Source organism: Homo sapiens, chromosome 9 (assembly GCF_000001405.40).
Source record: "Homo sapiens chromosome 9, GRCh38.p14 Primary Assembly".
Classification (NCBI taxonomy): Eukaryota; Metazoa; Chordata; class Mammalia; order Primates; family Hominidae; genus Homo; species Homo sapiens.
In genome coordinates, this window is record NC_000009.12 from 85,677,951 (window position 1) to 85,704,016 (window position 26,066).

Sequence of the window (26,066 nt, forward strand, 5' to 3'; positions counted from 1 at the left end):
CAGAGATCATACCACTGCACTCAAGCCTCGGTGACAAGAGCAAAACTCCATCTCAATCAATCAATCAATAATATCAAACAAATACCATCAACACATTTTGTTTAATCTCATTTATTTAGAAAATAGCACACAAAGGGTAAACACAAATCACGCTGAAATTCTAGGTTCAAGGCTGTGAAATACATGGCTATGGGGTAGTCTGAGGGATACTTGAAAAGATACCAAAAATAAAGCAACAACAACAAACTATGACATTTCAGTTTCTAATTCCAATACTCAGAATAGCCTCTATAAGAGTATCGGAAAATTCCAAATAAAGTGAATACGATACATTGTTGATCACTGTTTAGAAACAGAAATTAGACCAAAGAAACAAAAACTTACCAGCTGACACCAGCTCAACAAGAATGCTTAAGATATTAAGTGTAGTTTGAAGATCTTTTGTGTTCTGAAATAAATAGTTTGTTTTATTAAAACATTGTAAACTTTTGATTCCCAGACTTTTGAATCCACTGGGAACTACCTATATTTTACAAATGACCTTTCCAATTTCTCTAGGAACAAAGGTATTCAGGTTTTCACTATTATCATTTCCGTCTGTTTCCTTCTGCCTTTAAGAATTTTTACAAATCATTTTGAGTTATTACTTGTGAAATATCAACATTACAAGAAGAATCAATTTGTCATTTGAATTCCTCATCTTTCTACCAAATAGATAATAAAAGTAAATGAATCAAAATGTAAATGGCATTACAATGTATGTCTGGTGACTACTCAATCACTTAGCTGCCCTCTCAGAAGGCAATCACGTTATCAATTTCTTATGCATTCTGCCAAAGATAATATGCACACATAAAAGAAATCCATGTAAATATACATGTGCATACAGGTTTATTTCTCCAAATGGTATTGCCCTATAGGTACTATTTTGCACCTTGATATTTTACATATCGATAGATAAAGAGCTTCTTTATTCTTTTTGAGGGCTACAGGATATTTTCCATTATATGGCTATATCACCATTGTTTATGTAACCAGTCATCTACCCATGAAATATTTAGGTTGCTTTTAATATTTTGCTATTAAAAGTTTCAAATTTAACTAAGGATATATATTTACATGTGGTAAAGTACATCTGTATAGTAAGGTAAATGCCTACAATTCCAAGGTCAAAGAATATGGGCCTTTATTTTAATAGATATTACCAAATTGCTCTCTATGAAATAATTTATACTCCCATCAGCAATGCAGAAGAGTGACTATTTCTCCAAGTTTGGACAACTAATCTAATAAGTGAAAATGTTTAAACACTGTACTTTGGTTTTATTTATCTTCTTAAAAGTAATGCTCAATCTCAAGTGACATTTGTGTTTCTTTTCCTGAGAACTGAGCATAGCCTTTACATGGTTTTTGAAGTGTTTTTTTTTGTTGTTGTTCCTTCCTAAATGAAGAAGTTCTTTTTTTTCTTTTTTTTTGAGACGGAGTCTCGCTCTGTCACCCAGGATGGAGTGCAGTGGCGCAATCTCGGCTCACTGCAAGCTCCGCCTCCCGGGTTCATGCCATTCTCCTGCCTCAGCCTCCCAAGCAGCTGGGACTACAGGCGTCCGCCACCACATCCAACTAATTTTTTTGTATTTTTAGTAAAGACAGGGTTTTACCGTGTTAGCCAGGATGGTCTCAATCTCCTGACCTCGTGATCTGCCCATCTCGGCCTCCCAAAGTGCTGGGATTACAGGCGTGAGCCACCACACCCAGCCTTTAACTGAAGAAGTTCTTTACATGTCAAAGAAATTATGTAAGCCAAAATACTTTTCCTCAGTTTTCCAAGTATCCATGGTGTTTTTTTTCTACATCCTTTTGTTAATATAGTTGAATCTATCAATCTTTTATAGTTTCTATTTCTTCATACTTAAAAAAGCCTTCTTTGTTGTAAGATTATTTTAAAATTCATCTCTCTTTCTCTAGTATTATGATTCCATTTTCCATGCTTAAATCTTTGCTTCATATGGAATTTATTTGGGTGTGGAATGCAGGAAGTCATGATTCAATGTTACCTTTTTCCACATAGCTACCAATCACTCTATTTCTCACTGATCTGAAATGCTACCTTTAATAAATAATACTAAATTCCCATATGCATTTTATTTTTAGATTTTCTATTCTGTTACACTATAGTAGTAGTCTATCTATTACTCATGCATAATTTCCAAACTATTTTAATTACTGAAGATTTCTAATGTTCTTTGATATTTAATGGGATAGTCCCTTCTCATTTATCTTCATTCTCAGAAATGTGCTTTATATTTTGCTGATTATGTCTCCCCATTTGGACTTTAAAAACAAAACTGTTAGGCCGGGCACAGTGGCTCATGCCTGTAATCCCAGTGCTTTGGGAGGCCGAGGCAGGTGGATCACCTGATGTCAGGAGTTCAAGACCAGCCTGGTCAACATGGTGAAACCCTGTCTCTACTAAAAATACAAAAATTAGCCAGGCATGGTGGTGTGCACCTATAATCCCAGCTACTTGGGATGCTGAGGCAGGAAAATCACTCAAACCTGGGAGATAGAGGTTGCATTGAGCCGAGATTGCACCATTGCACTCCAGCTTGGGCGACAGAGTGAGACTCTGTCTCAAAAAAAAAAGAAAAGAAAAGAGAGAAAAAAAAAACTGTTGGTAACTTTTATTGAGATTGCTCTAAAGTAACAGAGCAATCTAGGGAGAAATGACATCTTTATGATGCTAAGACTTCCTATTGAAGAACATGAATTCATTTCTTGTTCTTAACATTGCAACTGAACAAAATACAGAATCCTGATTCTGAATACATCCTGCTGGTCCACCAAAAACTTTACACTGGCGTAGAAATTCAATTATCATCAATATAATATAGTTAACCAATATGTGTAGTAAAATCACAAATGTATATCAGCTAAAACAATAAACGATAATTTTCATTTGTTTTAAGCTAAAGATTTATTTCCAGCTAATGCTTTATTTTCTATACCAACTAAAATGGCATGTTAGGATTACAATTTACAGTTATCATTATAATCATATAAGGGAAATATACTTCAATAGTCACCTAATACATATTAAAATATTTATACCACCATTCCAAATAGTATTTTAAAAACCTAAAATGAATTTCCATTTACTGGCTTTACCTCTAAAACAAAAATTATTACATATACGTGTGTGTGTATATATGTACGTGTGTATGTGTTTCTGTGTGTATTTATACACACACATACGCTTTTTCTTCTTCAGTATTGCTTGGCATTAGTAGTTACATAATTAAAGCGTGTCACTGATTTACCTCTAATGTTGACAGCAGAATTTCCATTCCTGTAGAACCTTTGGCTGTCATTTCTCTCCTTGTTTTTTCTGAAAAGTAGCAAACAATTTTTTTCTCAAACATAAATTTTTAAAAGTATGTATAGTTTTGTTGCATATAGCTAATAAAGATTCAACAAGTCTCCACTGGTACAGTAAACACTCTAACTTGGTTCACAGACGTTCTTCCCTCTGATGTTGCTAATTCTACCATATGTGGACTTCGAGATATCAGTTAACATGGCATTCTTCACATTTCATCACAGCTCCTGTCATGAATTAGGTGATTCCTATTCATCCATTTAAAATCTTAAAATCGATAATATAGTACAGGTGCCAGAACTAGGAGTAAGGGAGGAGTCTTACCTCATCTTCATGAGTAGAACTAGAAAATTGTTCATCAAAATGGGTGAAAACAAAAACCTACTACCATTTTCCAATGCTATGATTGCATTAATATCTTTTTTTTTTTTTTTTTTTTTTGAGACGGAGTCTCATTCTGTCGCCCAGGCTGGAGTGCAACGGCGCAATCTCCGCTCACTACAACCTCCGCCTCCCGGGTTTAAGTGATTCTCCTGCCTCAGCCTCCTGAGTAGCTGGGATTACAAGTGTGTGCCACCATGCCCAGCTAATTTTTGTATTTTTAGTAGAGACGGGGTTTTACCCTGTTGGTCAGGCAGGTCTTGAACTCCTGACCTCATGATCCACCTGCCTTGGCTTCCCAAAGTGCTGGGATTACAGGCATGAGCCACCATGCCCGACCTGTATTAATACTATTTTAAAATTCTGTATCACACAAAAACAAACAAAACTAACAAAAGGCTACTTCTGAAACAATCTGGAGACCAGATCACCCAAATGATCCTTTTCCTCTCATTAGGATTGGTTAAAAAAAAAAAAAAAAAAAAAAAAAGCATAGATTATTTCTATTAGGTGAAGGTTTCTAGAGCTTCTCCACAATTCTTCTCCTTTGATTAGCAAAAGAAGAAAAGTACATCCTAGGTCAACATTTAGAAAAGGAACTAACATTTACTATTCCATAGCTACATTATGTCATTTATAACTCCCTTCAACCCTCTGGGGAAAAAAAACTACTCTTTTCATGGATCTAAAGATTTAAGTTCAGAAAGGAGAATAAATCTGTACAAGTCGCTGAGCAAACAAGTGAAAAGACCAGGTCATCACTTGTGTTTCTGAACCCAAAACTTATAGTCTTCCAGCATTTAATGCACTTTATTTAATGTCAAACCTGAATACTAATGCCAGAAATTATTCTAATACAGAATGACAGTGCCATTTATTTCACATTTTGAGATTTTAAAAAACACAATCAACCCACTCTCAATACAGTACATATTCCACAATGAAGTTCAAAGGACTGATACCAAATTCAATGTTCCACATGGAGATAGTCAAGGGAGTTTAAGAGAAGAACAACAGATAGTGAGGCCCTGATTAAAGGAAAATATCAACACAGATGGGAGAAAAACAAACTCAGGCTAAGCCTTTAGAATATCATACTTTTGTTCTGAGCAAATCCTGTTCAACTTCATGAATCTGACATCACTTGAAAATTAAGTTACTCTAAATTAGGAGTAAACAGAGGGAAAAATGTACTACAGAAGGGACATAGTATAATGTTATTTATGACAACTACCTATGACTAGCTACAAAATAAATATGCTGGAGAGTACATGTCATATTTATCTTAAAACAACAATCTCATGCTATCATGCATCATCTCGGGTTCAGTTAATGGACTTCACTAAACTTAAGGAACCTTACATCTTTCAAAACAGAAACTCCCGTAAGTGATATGAAGACCTAAAATAATATTCACCAGTTCCTTGCTGCCACATTGTTAATGCTTAAAAGAATATAAAATTTACCTAGAACAAAAGGAAAAACTCATTAATGAGAGTAAAATTAAATTTCTCCTTTTTAAAAAGTATGTCATTCCTTCTGATAATGCAACCTATCCTTTACTTTTTCTCCAGCCCTGCTGCCTCCATCAAAAAATGTTGAGTTGCAAAATAAAACATTGTTTCAAATATCTAATGTACCCTTGATGTAATATTTTAAAGGCCCCTGATTTAATATTAAAGCCAAATTATTTTTCAATATTAATATCACTACTAACAAGCCATTACATTTTCACTTCCATGAAGGGTAAAAAAAACTATCTTCCTTTGAAGACAGTATAATGCAGCCTCCCCTTGTTAACATTCACCACTGTTTTGTTTACACCTCACACTAAATGAAAATTAGGTGTTTAGACTAACAGTTTTCTACTCTACTCCAAATTCTGCCACAATCTTGGGAGACTTCAATGTCATTGTGGAAAATTCATTCAAATACCTAGTTCCATAGTTTCTCGACCTCATAACAAAATCCTTCCCTCTGTGCTCCAATTCATCAACCCTCTGAATGGCCATTCTCAGGACCTCAAACTGCTCTGCCTCTGATATCTTAATCCCTAATCTTCTACTTATGGCCCATAACCTCCTAACATTTCTATTCATCTTTCCTTTATAAAGACTATATAAACCTCACTGTCACCTTTGTTGAAACTTCTTATCCAGTGTGAGGTAGCACTGTTTTCCCACAGTATCAGTCCCCTCCATACTTAACTTGGATTCCAAGCACCCCCACCCCCACCAATTTTCCCACCACAAACCCTGATACAGAAGTGAATCCCAAAAAGCTGAGTTCCCTGCTCCTACATCAGAGTAAAAATAACACCACAATTTAAGACTGTTAATACCATAAAATTAATGAATTCCAACCTCACTTGGGAACACAAAACTGCTCCTTTCACTTATCTTAGCTCACATCCATCACCATCTGCCCTGCCATAGCCCATAGCTATTTCAACATTTATAGTAGCCCTCAATCTTTCCTCTCATTCTCTGGACTTCTCAGAACCTACATTTTTCCTCATTAAAATGAAGCAAAGTAATTAGTTAACAAAACATTTTACTAATAACAACCAAACTCTATATGCTCCTGTACCAAAATCCTTGACAATCTTGCATTCCTTCCGCCAGTAAATGGCAGAGAGGAGCAGGACAGTGGAGGTTAGGAAGAAATGTCCTTTCACCTATGTTCTGAATTCCATCCTTTCTACCTTCTTATGAACCTTTATCTTCAACCTCTACCAACATATCAGTTGTTCCCTCTCAACCAATAAATACACTTTTTATTATTCCACATACTTACCAAATCTTATTTTACCCTGCCTCCCCCTCTATTTCCCTCTTTTCTTTCTCGGTGAAGCTCCTCAAACAAGTACTCTATATTCCCTGTGATTATTTCATTTGCCATTCACATTATAACATACTGCAATCTTCCACCTAATCCTACCACTTGAAAAGTGCTTTTGTTGTGATCAGTAATTTGTTAATAATCCAATCAAAAAGAACTTTAAACTTCCTAACACTTAGCACTGTTGACTACTGCATCTTCCTTTGGCTTCTTTAAATATAATCCTTCCCAGTTATCTTAATGCTGTATTCTTTCTTTAACAGCTTCAATTATCTGAATGTTAGATTAGATTTACAGACAAGAACTTTAAAGCAGCTATTATAATAAATGACATTAAAGTAAAGAAGTACACAATGAATGAAAAGATGGGAAAACACAGCAGAGAAATAGAAACTACAAAAGCAAAAGAACCAAGTGCACACTTGAGAATAAAAAAAAAAACATCTGAAATAAATTATCAGATAGCTAACTGGAAGGATGCATAGGAAAGAGGCAGTGAAACTGACAATAGAACAATAGAAATTATCCAACCCAAATAACAGAGAATTAAACTTAAAAGATATAAGCCTCAACAACAGCTGAAAAAATATCAAAAATCTAATACATGTATAATTATACTTCCACAAGACAAATAGGGAAAATAAGGGAGAAAAAAAACTGAGCAACCAAAAATGTCCCAAATTTGACTAAAGATATAAATTTACAGATTCAAAAATCTCAGTGAATTCCAAGCAGGATAACTATGAAGAAAACTATAGCCAGTCAAACTTGAAAAGCAAAATCCAAAAAAATAAATAAATAAATAAATCCTGAAATCAGTTAGAAAAAAATCACACATAACATTCAGGAAAATGAAGATTCAAATGACAACAGAGTTCTCATTTGAAATTATGGAGGCCATAAAATGGTGGAAACACAATTGTAAGCACACTTTAAAAATGCTAAAAGACGATGACGATGAAACTGCCAAACCAGAATTCTATATCCAGTAAAAATATCCTTCAAAAATGGTGAAATAAATTCACTGTCAGATTAAGAAAAAAAAATCTTCCACAGCCAACCTGAACTACTGGAAGTGACAAAATTCTGTAGGCTAAAGAGAAATGGCACCAGATCAAACTCACATCATTAGAAAAGAATAAAGAGCTTCCAAAATGGTAAATATCTCTGCAAATGTAAAAACTACCTTTTTTCTTTTTAATGTCTTTAAAACATACATGACTTGATAAAGCAAAAATTGTGTTGTAATGTATACAGATGTAGATACATATGACAATCACAGCTGAAGAATGGTAGAAAAAATTTAAGATTCTAAATTTACATGAAGTAACAATAATAATTCTAAGCAAACTGTGAAAAGTTAATGACATTTAGTGCAATATTCAAAGAAATTACTTCTTAAAAATGAAAAGAGGTATAACTAAAAAGCCAATAGGTAAATTAAAACGAAATTCTAAAAAAAAGTTCAAATAATCCAAAATAGGGTAGGACAGGAAGAAAAGGAATAAAAAACATAAAAGACAAACAGAAAATAAAATTGTAGACCTAAATCCAGTCAACAACTACATTAAATGTTAACAGACCAAATGCTCAAATTAAACACTCAGACTGTCAAACTGGATGTTTTTTTTTAAAAAGATCCAACTATATACTGTCTACAGAAATCACACTTTGGATTCAATGACACAAAAAGGCTGGGAGTAAAAGAATAGAAAAGACTATATCATGCAAACAGCAACCGTAGGAAAGCTTGAAGGGTTATACTAATATCAGACAAAATAAACTTCAGACAAAGAACACTGCCAGAGATAAAGAGAAACTTTCCATAATTATAAAGGGGTAAATCATCAGGAAGACACAAAAATCATGTGAATGCACTTGATTATCTTCACCCTCTTATAGCCCTATCTAAATGTGCACAGTTCCCAGGACACAAACCTCAGCTTTCTCACTCCACAACTCCTTCTAAGAAAACTTAATTCCACCCCCATTACTTTAACTATCAATCTGTTGGCTCTTAATCCTGCTCTTCATTCAGAACTTCTTTATAAAGCATAAGATTGTGTAAGCAATAATTACAACATTGTATTGTTGGGATTCTAATATGTATAAACATAACATGTAAATCAATAACAGCATAAAGAATGAGAAGGAAATGAAGCTATATGGGAAGTTTTGATATTGACTGGAATTAAGTACACTGTAAAAAGATGCACATTTTAATCCCTATAGGAACCACTAAGAAAAGAACTCCAATTTCTTTAAGTTAGATAACAACAAAAGCAGTGAAAGAATGAGAAGAATGTAAAAGACATGAAACAAAACAATTAGCAAAATGGCAGATGTAAATCCAATCATATTAATAAATGCATTAAATTGGAAGCACTAAAACACTCAGACTAGTTAAGAAGCAAGATCCAACAATATGTTATCTTCAAGAAACACACTTTAGATTCCAAGGTACAAACAGGTTCAAAGTAAAAGGAATGAAAAAAGGTACGATATGCAAAGAGTAATAATCATTCGGCAGCTGGAGTGGCAATATTATCATTAGACAAAATGAACTTTAAGTCTAGAACTATTATGAGACAAAAAGCAATATTTCACAATGATGGAAGAGGCAAACTATCAGGAAAATGAAACAACTATAAATGTATACACAGCTAAGAACAGGGCCTCAAAACACATTAACCAAAACCTGCCAAAATTAAAAAGATATACAATTTAATAATATTTTAACACCTAACTCTTAATAATTAACAGAGCACCTGGGCAGAAAATCAACAGTGTATAAGAGATCTGAACAACACTATCAACTAACCTAATTGATACTTATAGAACACTTCACCCAACAACAGCAGAATATACATTCTTTTCAAGTATGCATGGAACATTTTTCAGGAGAAACCATAAACTAAGTCATAAAACAAGTCTCAAGCAATTCCAAGGATTGAAATCAATCAAAGTATATTCTCCAGCCAAAAGAATTACATTAGAAATCAACAGAAGGAAATTTAGGAATTCCTGAAATATTGGGAAATTAAACAACACACTTCTAAAAAAAAAATGGGTCAAAGAAAAAAACCACAAAGAAAATTAGAACATATTGTCAACTGAATCAAAACAAAAATACAATATATCAAAATCTGTAGAATGTAGCTAAAGCAGTGTTTACAGAAAAATCTATGGCTTTGAATGCCTCCAGTAGAAATAAAGGTCTCAAAATAAATAATCTAGGCTTCCACTGTAAGAAAATGGCGGCCAGGCGCGGTGGCTCATGCCTGTAATCCCAGGACTTTGGGAGGCCAAGGTAAGTGGATCACCTGAGGTCAGGAGTTTGAGACCAGCCTGGCTAACACGGTGAAACCCCGTCTCTACTAAAAATACAAAAAATTAGCCGGGTGTGGTGGCAGATGCCTGTAATCCAGCTACTCAGGGGGCTGAGGCAGGAGAATCACTTGAACCCAGGAGGCAGAGGTTGCAGTGAGCCGAGATCACACCATTGCACTCCAGCCTGGGCAACAAGAATGAAACTCTGTCTCAAAATTAAAAAAAAAAAAAAAAAAAAAAAAGGCAAAAAAAAGAGCATATTAAACTCAAAACAAGCAGAAAGAAGAAAGCAATAAATAAAAGAAGGAAATCAATGAAACAAAACAGAGAAAGTCAATTAAACCAGAAGTTAATTCTTTAAAAATATCAACAAAATTGACAAACTTTTAGCTAGGCTAGGGTCTCTTAACCTCAGCACTCTTGACATTTTGGAACAGATAATTCTTTCTTGTGGTGGGCTGATCTATATATTATAGAATGTTCAGCAACATCTCGGGCTTCTATCCAACAAATTACAGTAAGCCTCACTAAAAAAAAATTTACAACTAAAAATGTCACCAAACATTGCCAATGTCCCTGGGGGAAAAAGTGGGGCAGACACAATCACTCCTGGTTGAGAACTAATAAGCTGACAGACCAAGAAAAAAGAAAGGACACAATCAAAATCAGGAATGAAAGACACATCACTCCCTACTCTATAGAAACTAAAAGGATTATAAGGAAAGATTAGCAACAACCATGGGTCAACAAATTAACCATTTGCATGAAAGTGGATAATAGAAATGTTTCTAGGAAAAAAACTAAGGGGAAATTGCAAGAAATAATTCACTGTACATAAGTAGTTAACGAGAGGCAAATTATGGAAATTTATAAGTTTATTGTGTGAATAAAATGTGTTGTAGGGGTTGGTTTTTTATATCATTTAAATACATAAGTAGTATATGCTTGTTGCAACAATTTAAATGTCTGAAACAAAATTAGCTTACCTTATTCTCCCCCATTCCTATTCCATCAATATAGCTACTGCTAACAATTTGATATGTATCCTTCCTTTTATTTTTTGGCCTGGCTCATACAAATATTACATACAAATATAATGGTTTATTTTGTACAAAAATGAGACTATACATATTTTGTATAAAAATGAGACTATACACCTTTACAGTCATATGAACTAAAGAAACTTGCTGTATGTAATATACTAAATTTAAGCCTCCAAGAGCGTGCATATAGTTACACATATGAACTGTATGTTTCAACTATAATTTTTTTTTCAATGTCTACAATAAAGTTTATAGGAACTCAGCCATGCCTGTTTCTTTATGTATCATCTATGGCTGTTCGTGTGCTAAAGGGCAGAGACTGTATGGCCCACAAAGCCTAAAATATGTCTATCTGGCCCTTCCCAGAAAACGCTAGCCATTCCCTGCTCTAGAGCAGTAGCTTTCAATTTTGGAACCATCTGGAAAGCCTTAACAATTAAGATTTAATTGGTTTGGGGTGAGCCTGGGTGTAGGGGTTACAAGAGTCCCCATCATAAATAATGTATTATTCATAATAGCTGCATAATATGGCTATAAATTTCCACTTTGGTATATCAAAAATTACTCACACATTCTCTCAGTGATAGACATTTAGGTTGTTTCTTGAACTTTGACATCACAAATAATGCCACATGAATATCTCTATACTCTCTCTAACTAGCATTTTTATTTCAGTTAAAATATATTTCTTGGCCGGGCACAGTGGCTCACGCCTGTAATCCCAGCACTGTGGGAGGCCGAGACCGGCAGATCGCCTGAGGTCAAGAGTTTGAGACCAGCCTGGCCAACATGGTGAAATTCCATCTCTACTAAAAATATAAAAAATTAGCCTGGTGTTGTGGCCTATGCCTGTAATCCCAGCTACTCGGGGGGCTGAGACAAAGAATGGCTTGAACTCGGGAAGTGGAGGTTGCCATGAGTGGAGATTGTGCCACTGCACTACAGCCCGGGCAACAGAGTGAGAGAGACTCTGCCTCAAAAAAAAAAAAAAAAAAAAAAAAAAAATATATATATATATATATATATCTTAAAGTAAAAATAAAATACCAGGTGCTGGGTCAAATACCAGGTACAATTTGTTTTAGTACACATTGCCAGATTATTTTCCCCAAGTTTGTAATAATTACTACACCTCCAACAGTGTATGAGAGTACCCTCTCCCCGTGCCTTCAACAGCACCAGACATTGTCATTCTAATTTCTGTCAATCTGACTACTGAAAGATATCTTTGTTGTTGTTTTCATTAGCAGTTCCTGAACTGTAAGGGAGTAAAGAAAATTTTTGTACATTTCTTGGTTGTTTGCATTTCTTCTTTCAACTATAAATTCCAAACTTTCTCTCCCAAATGGATAGCTAACTGGATTATCCTATAAAGGATGGAACTGCCTTTCACTACCAACTTATACTGTGTTGGTTGGCTAATCCTAGGCACTATAAACAGAGTCACTATATTATACACCCCAAGGGACAGTATTCAGGAGTTAGACCCCAGTGGTGGCTGAAAAGGTGGGAAGAGGGTCATTCTCTGATAGTGGTATGGTCAGGAGTATTTTCAGTGGTGAGGAGTATTTTCAGTGGTGGGAAGAGGGTCATTCTCTGATAGTGGTATGGTCAGGAGTACTTTCAGTGGTGGAAAGAGGGTCATTCTCTGATAGTGGTAAGGTCAGGAGTACTTTCAGTGGTGGGAAGAAAGTCATTCTCTGACAGCGGTAGGGTCAGGAGTATTTTCAGTGGTGGGAAGAGGGTCATTCTCTGATAGCGGTATGGTCAGGAGTATTTTCAGTGGTGGGAAGAGGATCATTCTCTGATAGCAGTATGGTCAGGAGTATTTTCAGTGGTGGGAAGAGGGTCATTCTCTGATAGTGATAGGGTCAGGAGTATTTTCAGTGGTGGTAAGAGGGTCATTCTCTAATAGTGGTATGGTCAGGAGTATTTTCAGTGGTGGGAAGAGGGTCATTCCCTGATAGCGGTATGGTTAGGAGTATTTTCAGTGGTAATGCTGGAGTAGGGGTTCTAGGTTGTGACACAAAGAAGAGTCTACAGTGGTAGGAGCAATGGACAAAAGTGTTTATCTATAGGTCTGAAGGATTCATTTTCTTTTGTTTTTGTTGGGTTTTTTGTTTGGTTGGTTTTTTTGAGGAGGAGGTATTTCATATGACAATGCAGTGAATATACCTGGCACATTTAATTTTGCACTGATATAACGAACACCCTTGTTCATTAGTTGCCTTAGTTGATAAGTACAATATTTCCAGAGCCTGGAATCCAATACAGTGGCTTTCTTAATTAAAAGGTACAGGTATTTTAAATTATGCAAGAAACAATGGGGTGGTATCAACTATCCTCCAAATGCATGGGCTACATGGGAGGAAGTTATCAAAATAAATATAAGGGTCTATGACCAAGAAGAAGGGTTAATAGACACTGAGATCTTGAAACACTAAATGCCTGCCAAACATCTTATCTGAATGACCTAAGCCTCCAGAATAATGAAATTTTTAAAAATTAAATAAAGATTATAATTATTAGACCTTAATTCTAACAGAAATACCTTTTATGTGCACTGTTAAATATTAAAGTAGTGCTGGTTTTCTCTTATCCAAAAAAAAAAGAGGGTGTGTGTGTGTGTGTGTGTGTGTGTGTGTTTTAAATCATGCACAGTTTTTAGTCTCATCAAAGTCCTTTTTACTATCTATTAAGGTAATCACATGGATTTTATTTGACCTGTTCAGATAATGTTATAGTGATATATTTCCTGGTATCTTGCGTTCCTGAAATGTGTTCTTTAACAATGATATTCATATTTCCACGTACAGACTTAATTCCCTAAAGTTTTATTTGAGCCTTTTCACATTATGTTCCTGAGTACAAAGTCAATACTATTTGTGTACTCTATCGGGGTTTTGATATCAATTTAGTACTATTACCATCACAAAATATAAAAAAAGTCTAATTACAGCTGACATTTATAGAACATTTTAAATATTCTTTTTACATGCTTCTCATGTAAATCTCATGACAACCGTGTGATATTCGTTACCTCTACTTCAGAGATGGTACAGCTATTATACATCTTAGAAATTCAATAACCTCCCTAAGGTACCCAACCACTAAATAGTAGAGCCTGAATTTCAAAGTGAGGACCCCATAATAACCAATATTCTATGCTACTTGATATCTTTTTGCCAAAAATCTATATCAAGTAGCACTGGAATTAGGTACTATTTGTAAATGGGAGGGTGGTAATCATATATAAGTAAAATTGTAATCATTATTAGAAACCATGCTTTGAAGATCAATTTCCTCCAAAGTTATTCAGTTTTCCACTCGAGTCAATTTGAGAAAGTTTGATTTTTTTTTTTTTTTTTTTATGAGACGGAGTCTTGCTGTCGCCCAGGCTGGAGTGCAGTGGCACGATCTCAGCTCACTGCAACCTCCACCTCTTGGGTTCCAGTGATTCTCCTGCCTCAGCCTCCCGAGTAACTGGGATTATAGGTGCATGCTACCACACCCGGCTAATTTTTGTATTTTTTAGTAGAGACGGGGTTTCACCATATTGGCCAGGCTGGTCTCAAAACTACTGACTTCATGATCTGCCCACCTTGGCCTCCCAAAGTGCTGGGATTACAGGTGTGAGCCACCACACCCGGCCTGAAAGTTCAATTTTTGTGGAAAATCATCCATTATTAGAAGTTTGAACATTTTTAGCATCCACTTTTAAAGAATTAAAAAAGCATTTCAAAAACAAAGAAGAGATCAATGTTTACCTTGACTCTGAGCCAGATGAAGAATTTTTGATGTAACATATCGGGCAGTGTCTGATTCTGAAGGCTCAGCATTGATCTTCTCCAGTTGAGCCAGGAGTCCTACGATCCTAGAATTATTGGTAAGGCTAAAAAGAACGTAGAATGTTAGGGCACATTCTAAATCAATGGTGTAAATTCAATACTATAACGATCACTGTTTAAAAAACAATTCTACTCTTTTAAAAACAGAAAGCATTTACACGTCGCACTTCCTTACTCTGTTCTATAGCTTAATATAGCTTAATATTGTTCTATAGCTTAAATTCTACTGACTTAAGTGAGAAACACATTCTATTTCAGAAAACCACAAATCACAAATATCCCTTCAACCCTGTTCAGTAATCTTACATCACACCTGGAAAGTTCACCTTTCCACTCTCAAAGACTTTTTACACTTACTCTGCTCTCCTCAAAACTCTGATAATCCTTCTTCCCATCCGACTCCATTCTCAGTTAGTGCCCTGCTTCATAACTGGTATAAATCCAGCAAGAATACACTCACTTTCCTGTCACCAGATCCTTAAGCCTACCTATCCTCCACCTATGTTCTTTCTTCCCTGTTCCTATTTATCATACAAATATTTGTACATAGGCCGGGCACAGAGGCTCACACCTGTAAACCCAGCACTTTGGGAGGCCAAGACTGGTGGATCACTTGAGGTCAGTTTGAGACCAGCCTGGCCAACATGGTGAAACCCATCTTTACTAAAAATACAAAAAAATTAGCCAGGCATGTGGCGCATGCCTGCAATCCCAGCTACTTGGGAGGCTGAGACAGGAGAATTGCTTGAATCCAGGAGGCGGAGGTTGCAGTGAGCTGAGATCATGCCATTGCACTCCAGCCTGGGCGACAGAGCAAGACTTCATCTCAACAACAACAAAAAAAATTGTACATACGGTACTGATCTAGGTGTTGTCAATATAGTGTAAACAAAACAAGCAAAAACTCCTGCCCCGCATAGAGTGTACATTCTTATGGTGAGAAACAAGTCAAATAGGTAAATATGTACATTTTATATTTCAGGTGATGGGAAGTACTATGGAGAAAAAGCACATTGGGGGAATAAAAAGTGCAGGGGGAGAGAGACAGTTTTAGACAGCATGGTCAGAGAAGACCACTGAGAAGGTACCATTTAAGAACAGGCCTGAAAGAAGCAAGTAAATAAGCAAGCCGTGCAAATACTGGCAAAAAGAGCTGTCCAGAAAAACGGAGGCACAAGCTCCTAGATCCCTGCGCAGGAGCAAACCTGCCATGTTCTATGAACAATGAGGTGGCCAGTGTGGCTGGAGGAGACAGTGAGGAACAAGGTCAGAGTTGGGGGTAGGCATGGGAGAGAACAGAGAAAAATAGCAGATTGCTTAGAGGCTTGTAGGCCATTTTAAGGACTTTGGCTTTTACAATGAGTGAGATGGGAAATTTTTGAGCAGAAGAGTTACATGTTCTCACTTTTAACGGGCTCTATTTGGCTGGTACATTGAGATTCAAAGAACAATCCACTCGTACACTTGCTCCCAGCCCCTTTCATTCTCAAAGTACTTGCTTTCTCTTTCAATTATACTTTCTCTGATCCCTCATCTATCTTTCCCCTTCAATTAATCGACTTGTAGGCACACAAGTATGATCTAGGAGCTCCTACCAGCTGTTTCTCTGATATTCCTCCAAAGAGAAATATGTACTGCTCTCTCCATTTCCCCACAGACTGTTCACTTTTCAAACCACCAGGTTGCCTTCTGAACTCTGAGATCTCCCAAAAGCATCCTGTGGTCACTTCTAACCCCAACATATTCACATCTCTGCACCATACAAACCAGTTATCTCCTCTTTTCTTAACACACTTTCTTCTTTGGGATTCAATGACTCTATACTCGCCTGATTTTCCTCCTCTTGCCCCTTCTTTGAGATCCCCTCTGACACACTTCTAAGACACTGACATCTCCCCCAACAGCTCTGTCCCAGCCCACTTCTCTTCACTCACTACACTTTTGCCTTGAGTGATCCCATCTAATCCCACAGCTGTAATTATTATCTGTATGCAGCTTGGCTCCTATGTTCAATAGCAGCCTCAACCTCTGATAGCTTCACCAACCTAACCAGCCCAATATAAAACTTCTGTTCCTCCTCTCAACCTAGTCCTCTTCCAATCTTAACCTTTACAAATTCACATGAATTCAGTTGAAGGTTCAACATAAATATCTAGACTCCCTTTTCCACACTGCAACCCAATACAAGTTCTATCTCAAAACATCTCAAATCCATTCACTTCTCTCCATATCTACTATATGACTACCCACATCCAAGCAATCATCATCTCTCACAGCCTAGTGACTAGGCTGCTTCCCTTCTTGGTGCCCAATAACCCATTTCCACACAGTAATTTTTTTTAACTTTTATTTTGAAGTAATTATAGATTCACAGGAAGTTGCAAAAATAGTAGACTGGTGCTTTGTAACCTTCACTCAGTTTCCCCAATGGTTACATTTCACATAACTATAGGACAATATCAAAACCAGGAAAACCGACACAGTTGCTACTTTCCTGTGAGAGCCTCATGGTCGGCCTGTACTGGCCCTTGGGTGCTCAGGGGCCCCTTGTTTTATCTGGTTCTTAAATGTTTGTTACCACAGAAAATAAAACTGAGCTTTAAAAAAAAATGCTAAGGGTACCTAAGACCCTTTCAGCAAATGTGCAAGGCCAAAGACAATTTTCATAAAAATACTAACACATTATTTACCATTGACACTGTGTGGACATTTGCACCGATGGTCCAAAGGCAATGATGGGTACAGAGTTGGCATTGCAGCAAAATGAAGGCAGTGACACCAAACTGTTCTAATAGTCAGTGCATTTTTCACCACCATGAATTTGTAGTTTAAAGAGAATGCCAGTTTTACCCATGAGTGTACATCATCTTAATATTCTGTGTGCATAAAATCATTTCTGCTGCACATTGAAATATGATGGTTATCTTGGGAGAAAATACATGCAACTGTCTGAATGACAAGCTAAACTAGCCACTTTTTTCCAAAGAACATCATTTTTACTTCAAGAAAACGATGGACAAACAATGATTATTCAGACTGGGATATTTTGCCAGACATTTTCTTTCCTTTTCTTTTACTTTTTTTTTTTTTCAGACAGAGTCTCGCGCTGTTGCCCAGGCTGGAGTACAGTGGCGCAATCTCGGCTCACTGAAACCTCCATGTCCCAGGTTCAAGCGATTCTCCTGCCTCAGCCTCCCAAGTAGCTGGGATTACAGGCATGAGCCATTACACCCAGCTAATTTTTATATTTTTAGTAGAGACGGGGTTTCACCACGTTGGTCAGGCTGGTCTCGAACTTGTGATCTCAAGTGATCTGCCTGCCTTGGCCTTCCAAAGTGCTGGGATTACAGGTGTAAGCCACCACACCTAGCCTTTGCCAGACATTCTCTTTTCATGGAGATAAGCAAAGTGAGCCTGTCACTTCAAAGGAAACAACTAATAGATTTGTTGCTGATGATAAAATTTGAGCTTTCAAGCAAAAATTGGAATTTTGGAAAACACTGATCTACCATAATGACCTTGACAGTGTCTCAATATTTAAAGAATTTTCTCATAAAATCAATGGTGATATTAACAAATATAATTTCTTAATATTGTGTAAAAAATGTGTCAACCCGGTCGGGCGCAGTGGCTCATGCCTGTAATTCCAGCACTTTGGGAGGCTGAGGTGGGCAGATCGCTTGAGGTCGAGAGCTCGAGACCAGCCTGGTCAACACGGTGAAACCCCATCTCTACTAAAAATACCAAAATTAGCCAGGTGTAGTGGCGCACATCTGTAATCCCAGCTACTTGGGAGGCTGAGGCAGGAGAATTGCTTGAACCCGGGAGGTGGAGGCTGCAGTGAGCCAAGTTGTGCCACTGGACTCCAAACTGGGTGACAGAGCAAGACTCCGTCTCAAAAAAAAAAAAAGTATCAATCCACATTTATAAGATTTGATTTGCATAATTAAATCAGTACTTTCCAAATGACCAATGCATGGTGTTACAAAATCAGATGTGGATAAAAGTAAGTGTAAGATAGACCAACGGATTTTAATGTAACAGAGTACAAAAGTTCACTAATATGGTTTCAGATTCCACATTGTAACTAACCTATACGACACTATCACTTATCAAGCTTTAGTGTAATATCAAGGAATATCTATTTCAATTTGAATCTCAAATAATATGGTTTTATTTCCAAAGCACATTTTCATTTAATACTGTTTGTTCTACATTTTAACTATGACTTTTGCTTTGATCACATTTTTACTGTTTTTCTCCAAATAGTGAACACATGATTTTATTTTCCTCCACCATAAATCAAAGGACAACAATCTAAAAAGGCTACTAAAGTACTCCTTCCTTTACTATATATTTCTGTGTGAACCCAGATATGTCTTCTTTGTACCCTTCAACAATACAACACACACAAAAAAATGTATGTGTATATATATTTACACATAACATGTAAACTCAGAAGCAGATAAGAGAATCTGTTTTCTATTAAGCCAGACATTAATAAGATCTGCAAAAATGTAATAAAATATGCCACTCTTCCTACCAAACCTATTTTGTTTAGGAAACCATAGTTATTTTTAATGCAAAAACATTATATGTTATGCAGTGGGTTTATTATTTTTTAAATGAATTAATATTTGTAATATGATAAATTATGGGTCTTAATTTGTTTTTTGTTTTTTTTTTTTTTTTTTTTTTTTTGAGGCAGAGTCTTGCTCTGTCGCCCAGGCTGGAGTGCAGTGGCGCAATCTCGGCTCACTGCAAGCTCCGCCTCCCGGGTTCACGCCATTCTCCTGCCTCAGCCTCCTGAGTAGCTGGGACTACAGGCACCCACCACCACACCCAGCTAACTTTTTGTATTTTTAGTAGAAACGGGGTTTCACTGTGTTAGCCAGGATGTTCTCGATCTCCTGACCTCGTGATCCGCCCGCCTCAGCCTCCCAAAGTGCTAGGATTACAGGCGTGAGCCACTGCGCCCAGCCCTTAATTTGTTATATGATAAATATCAACAGATAAAATAATCCGCATGAACAAAAGTTTTTTGGAGTATCATTAACTTATAATAGAAAAAGGTTCTAAAGCCAAAAAGTTTGATAACTGCTCTTTTAGGCTTCTCTTGTACATTCAGTGATCTTGATCTGGTTCTTTTTGGTGAGAAATGATATATAAGTCACCACAATCTGTGTACTAGAGAGCAAACACATCTTTTTAAAAATTTCTGTAACCCAGATTTGAGAGAAATTTGCATTCACAGAAACCAACATTCTAAAATTTAATAACTGACCATTTTGTTTTTCGTTATTTTTCTTTTAAAAGGTCATCTTTTTTTTTTGGCAATTAATAAAACATCTATTCAAAAAATTCAACATGCAATTCACAAACATACAAAACACAGTGAATGGAACACAGGTCCTAAAATTAAGAGCTTGCTTTGCCAGTAACCCTGACTAGTTAAAATTAATTACGCCAATTAAAATAAATTTACCACTACAAAAGAAAACTTTCATCTTAGTGATTCCTTTGTGAGAATCATCCTTTTCCAAATGCCAGATGGATAGATGGGTAAATTTTTTAAAGGCAAATAAATGGAAATAAACAGTTAAATCAATCTATTTTTATTTTCATCTACAGAAGGAAAACGGAACAAAATTATATTCTAAGCCACTTCCCAACTCAGCTCTAAAATTTGTTAAGACTGCTGGTTGACACTAATGTTGAGAGTCAGAGGGTGAACACCAGAGGGCAGCTCTACCATTTGACTACATTTTGGCTTTGGAAAATCTGAGGGCGGTGGGATGCAAATGAAAGAAAAAAAGCTATATATGAGCAATTTGAGATACTACACTGCAAAGCAGAGGAATGTTAAATAAAGACACTTAGAGGAGGAAATGTATCTTCCCCACCTAACCCTTTTTTTTTTTTTTTTTTTTTTTTTTTTTTTGAGAAGCAGTCTTGCTCTGTCGCCCAGGCTGGAGTGCAGTGGCGCGATCTTGGCTCACTGCAAGCTCCGCCTCCTGGGTTCACGCCATTCTCCTGCCTCAGCCTCCCGAGTAGCTGGGACTACAGGCGCCTGCAACCACGCCCAGCTCATTTTTTTGTATTTTTATTAAAGATGGAGTTTCACTGTGTTAGCCAGGATGGTCTCGATCTCCTGACCTCGTGATCCACCCGCCTCGGCCTCCCAAAGCGCTGAGATTACACACCTAACCCTATTTTTAGATGCATCAAAATAAGGCTGAGACCAACTTTGGGAGGTTCCATTTGTAACTGTCAGTGTTATATATGTAACAGTGAGAAAATTATGGAATTGAAAAAACGATCAATGTGTAACACATCAAATCAAGTTAACTTCAAATGCATATTTTTTTAAATAATTTCATTTATTTATTTATTTTTAAGAGAAAGGGTCTCACTATATGCTGCCCAGGATGATCAAACTTCTGGGCTCAAGCGATCCTCCCACGTGAGTCTCCCAAAAAGTTGAAACCATAGGCACATGCCACCACATCCAGCCCAAATAAATATTTTAAGGGCATTATCACTCAAATATTTGTTTCATTGTATTGGTCTCATGCTGCTTTTGATTCTTTGAGCTTATATTCAATCTTGGAGCTATTTTCCTAAAAATATAAATTTGCTTGAATATGGCAAAAGTCCCAATGATATGCAGATACTGTCTTTGCAACAAATAATTTCCTAAGTAAGGGCAAGGGATATAAAACCTATATTCACATTATAAATAAATTACACTACCTTTTTCACCTTAAAATATAAATCAAATGCAGGCAATAAAGACTTCCTCATAAATACGGTAAAAAAAAATAATAAACAGCAAAAAAAAAAACCATAAAAACATACAAAAGTTTTAGGATTACACAGGATGCATGGTAGTAAAACAATTTCAAACAATATGGCTTTATTTTCAAAATGCACCTTATCTTTCAGAAATTTCTGCTCAATTATAACTTTTATTCTGGCTTTAATCACATTTTTACTGTTTCTCTCCAAATACTAAACACGTAACTGTTTTCTTCTAATTTATGTGGAATGGATTATTTTTTACCATAACACAAATTAAAACTGAACAAATTTTAAAGTACTCAATCATTAAATCACTTAAAATAATAAATCCATTACATAACATTTTTATAAATGGTATCTGTATTTTACCAAAAAAGTAAAGATTTAGAGAGAAGAGCGGCAGTGTTTTACATTACTACAAAACTCTTTTAATGTCTGGCTCAGTAGAAGACAGAGTCTCATACCTACTTCTGTATTCAACCTGTTACAGTATCACACATCATGAGGCCTCTGGAAAACAGCACTTTATACTCATGAGAAAATGAGCGTGAATAAAGCAAATCATCTCTCAGTACTACTATGAAAATGGTTGTGACCTCATTCCTCTAAGGTCCACAGCTAACACCTTGAGAACTTCTGGGCTAGGTTATACTACCAAAACGAACAACTCCACAATCCCCTTGGCTTATTCAACACAACGAAAGTGTAATTCCTGCTCACATTACGTGTACAGTGCAAGTCAGCAGGAGACTCAACTCATTCAACCATCTAGGCTGCCAGAGATATTTTCATGTTCACAACACCAAGAGGAAAAAAAGAGAGATGTGGCAAATGGTGCACTAGCTCTTAAAGCTCTCACCTGGAAATGACAAATATCACTTCAGCTCATTTCACCGGCTAAAGCAAGTCACACAGCCACAGATTAACCTCAAAGAAAATACAGTACAACCCTGCCAGGTGCCCAAAAGGAGAACTAAAATATATGTGACCAGCCCTTGTGACTACCACACTAGGCATAGCCATGTATCCAAGTCCTGGCAAGTGAGATGTAGGCAGATGAGATGTGAGCCACTTCGCAAGTTTTGCTTTTAAGAATAAGATGTGCATCCTTTCTGCATTCCCACTGGCTATGATATAGTGAGAACAAGAGAAAATGCCTTGGACCCAGAGATAGAAGTCACATATTCAGGAAAAGCAGAGCCATTCTGCCACCCTTGAACAACAACCTCTAGGTTAATAAAATAGAAATAAGCTTGAATATTTAGCCATTGTATTCTGAGGTATCTACTACATCAGCTTAGCCTATGTCTAAACTAATACATAGCTATATATATTAAACACACTATACTTTTTTTTTTCTTTTTTGAGACAGGGTCTTGTTCTGTCGCCCAGGCTGGAGTGCAGTGGCGCAATCTCGGCTCACTGCAACCTCCACCTCTCAGGTTCAAGGGATTCTCGTGCCTCAGCCTCCAGAGTAGCTGGGATTACAGGCATGTGCCACCATGCCAGGCTAAGTTTTGTATTAGAGATGGTGTTTCACCATGTTGGCCAGGCTGGTCTTGAACTCCTGGCCTCAAGTGATCCACTCATCTTGGCCTCCCAAAGTGCTGGGATTACAGACATGAGCCACCACACCTGGCCTTTTTTTTTTTATTTTTATTTTTTAATTTTTTTTTTGAGATGGAGTCTTGCTCTGTCACCCACGCTGGAGGACAGTGGTGCAATCTTGGCTCACTGCAACCTCTGCTTCCCTGGTTCAAGCGATTCTCCTGCCTCAGCCTCCCGAGTAGCTAGGATTACAGGCACCCACCACCATGCCCAGCTAATTTTTGTATTTCTAGTAGAGACAGGGTTTCACCATGTTAGCCAGGCTGGTCTTAAACTCCTGACCTCAGGTAATCCACCCGCCTCAGTCTCCCAAAGTGCTGGGATTACAGGCATGAGCCACTGCACCCGGCCAACTTTTTATCTGAACCAAAGTAGATGTTTATAAAGAATTAAATCAATTACTATATTGTAGGAGTGATCAAACAGTCCACATGAGGAACACCATGAACAGAAGACAATGTAAAACACCGTAACAGAGAACAAAAACAGACTCTGACAGATTGCTTTATAAACAGGGAAAACAACCCTCTCCAAGCCCCCATAACCACTATTCCACTCTCTACTTCTATGAGATCAACTTAGATGTACTACCTTTTACCTGTCTTTACCAATAGGTCAATTAGGAAAGGAAAAAATGTGAATTCCTTTTTGGGAACTGTTTCACCTGTTTCCAAAGGTTAGTGTCTGCTTTCATTACCATAGTCAAGATATTCTCAAATGCCTGTTTTTATCTCCTCTTTGACTCAGGTTGTTCAAGAGAGTTTTAAATTGAAGGTGAACAGTCTTTGTTGTCAGAAGCAGCCTGATTCTTTTTGCCCCATATAATGTTATCTTTTTACCTAGCTACCCAAAAGACTATCTTTAAGGTCCAAAACTTTTCTAGAATATGTTCTGCTATCTAGCGTATATCCTACTCTGCTCAGTTTTCTCTGACACAGCCTGTGTGTTTTAAGTCATCATTCTTCCTTCTCCCTCCATGCACTCAACCAAAAGTTTTCTTGATACGTTTCTAAAAACATACCTTTTAAATAATACATTCTATTCCACTGTTTCCATTCCTTCCTTGGAAATTACAGTTACAAGTATATTGGATTTCTTTTGTCAGTCTTACACATCTAACCTTTTATCTCCAATCTCTTTAATCATTTGTTTACATCCATTAAATTGTGATCACTTTCTCCATTACTATTCTTTGTGTGTTTTACTGTGCTTTTATAGTATCTACTTTCAAACTGCTGCTAATTTAATTGTCCTTTCTGTGATATTTTCTCTTCTGCTTTAAGTATTGCCAGTTCACATTTCATCTCTTCCTGCTGACTCACAATATCATCTCTCAATTTATCTGTTTCTGTTTTATGATCTTCACAGAGGTAACTACATCATCAGTTTTTTTTTTTTAATTTGTAGTGAAATATTTTATGAGAATTTTCACCTGCTTCCTAAAAATGTTATTTCTGGTAACGACTCTCTGTCTCTCTCTCTTTTTTTTTTTTAACAGTACCTTTTAATTACTCATTGAATGAGCTGAATTTTCCTCGATTGGTAACTTGTATAAGCTCCTATAAAAAGATGGGAGGTGAAGGAAGACCAGGGTAGCATTTCAAATTAATTAGGCCTCACAATTGAATGGCTCTCTCCTTTGCTGCCACAGAGACAAACTACTTTGGATACATGCTATTGGTTTACATAATTGTTGAATAGTCTGCCTGATCTGCTTCTCTGGACCAATTCCATCCATGAAATATTGTTCTCCCATCTCTACACAACCCAGTTACAGTGAGTTGTCAAACTGTTGCAAAACAATTTAGGGTCCACCCTAAACCTTCAACAAGTATATTTTTGCTGGAGCTTTCTGAGATCTGCTATTCTGAGCCCTCTGGTCCCTATGTGTACTTATCTTCACTTCCTCCCAAGTGGCTTCTGCCCAATGTCCCAGTTGCATTTGGCAGCCTTTACATGTATTGCTGAGTCTGCAGCTAATGTTTCCTAATCTTGCCAATAACTGAATTTTCAAAGAATGAGGCTGTTTAGTCCTCCTAGTTTTTTGAGGATTTGAAATAATTTCCAGGAAGAGATGGGGAAGACAGAATTATTCAATGATGTTCAAACTGGAAGTTTAGATATACAATTTTTAAAGGCCTCCTGGCTCTTGTGAAGTGAATGGATTACATAAAGGAATCAAGAGTAGAGGCAGAGAAGTAAGGAGACTATTACAGTGGTCTTAGAAACAGATGATAAAAGCCTGGTCAAGGTAGCAACAATGGGCATGGAGAAATACACAGACAAGTGATTTACTTTTAGTGATAGATACAAAACATAGTATTCACTGGTAGCCTGGATGAAGAATGCTAAATGAAAAGATTGTCAAGGATGACTCCCAGATTTATGGCTTGCACTTCTGCGTGGTTAGAATCTCATTTCACTGAGTCAGAGTAACACTAGAGGATGAAAAGATTTGCAAAGGCTCAATCTGGGGGAACACATAATGTGGGAGATGACTATGAAACTTCCAGGTAGCAATACTTAATAGGCATGGAGATACAGAGGGATTGGTCTCCACTACAGATGACATCTAAATCAATAGGACTCAAATGAGATTGTCCAAGGACACTGTATAGGTTAAAAGGAGAAAAAGTTTAGGACTGAGTCCTGAGGACTATTTAGAGGTCCTACAGAGGAAAAAGTCCCATAAGTAGGTTTAGAAGCAGTGGCCAATGAAGTGGGAAGAAAAACAAGAGACAATGGTACCGCAGACACCAACTGAAATAAGTTTCAAATAGGAGGGACAACATCCAAAAGAAATGTCAACTGCTGCTTAAAAGTTAAATAAGACAGAAG

The 26,066-nt window shown here is 36.7% G+C and overlaps 1 protein-coding gene across 24 annotated transcripts in view; it reads right to left on the reverse strand.

Moving 5' to 3' along the window:
- AGTPBP1 (ATP/GTP binding carboxypeptidase 1) overlaps positions 1-26,066 on the reverse strand; it is a 258,945-nt gene that overhangs the window by 131,412 nt on the left and 101,467 nt on the right. For 22 of the 24 annotated variants that reach the window (XM_047423094.1, XM_047423090.1, XM_047423089.1 and 19 more), the window contains 3 exons: positions 14,739-14,863; positions 3,318-3,385; positions 385-448 (listed from right to left, as the gene is read on the reverse strand). In XM_047423094.1, the coding sequence (XP_047279050.1) occupies positions 385-448; positions 3,318-3,385; positions 14,739-14,863 (257 nt within the window). Of the gene's footprint in view, positions 1-384; positions 449-3,317; positions 3,386-14,738; positions 14,864-26,066 lie in introns of those variants that run through there. The other 2 variants (XM_047423100.1, XM_047423099.1) reach the window with 1 other exon arrangement.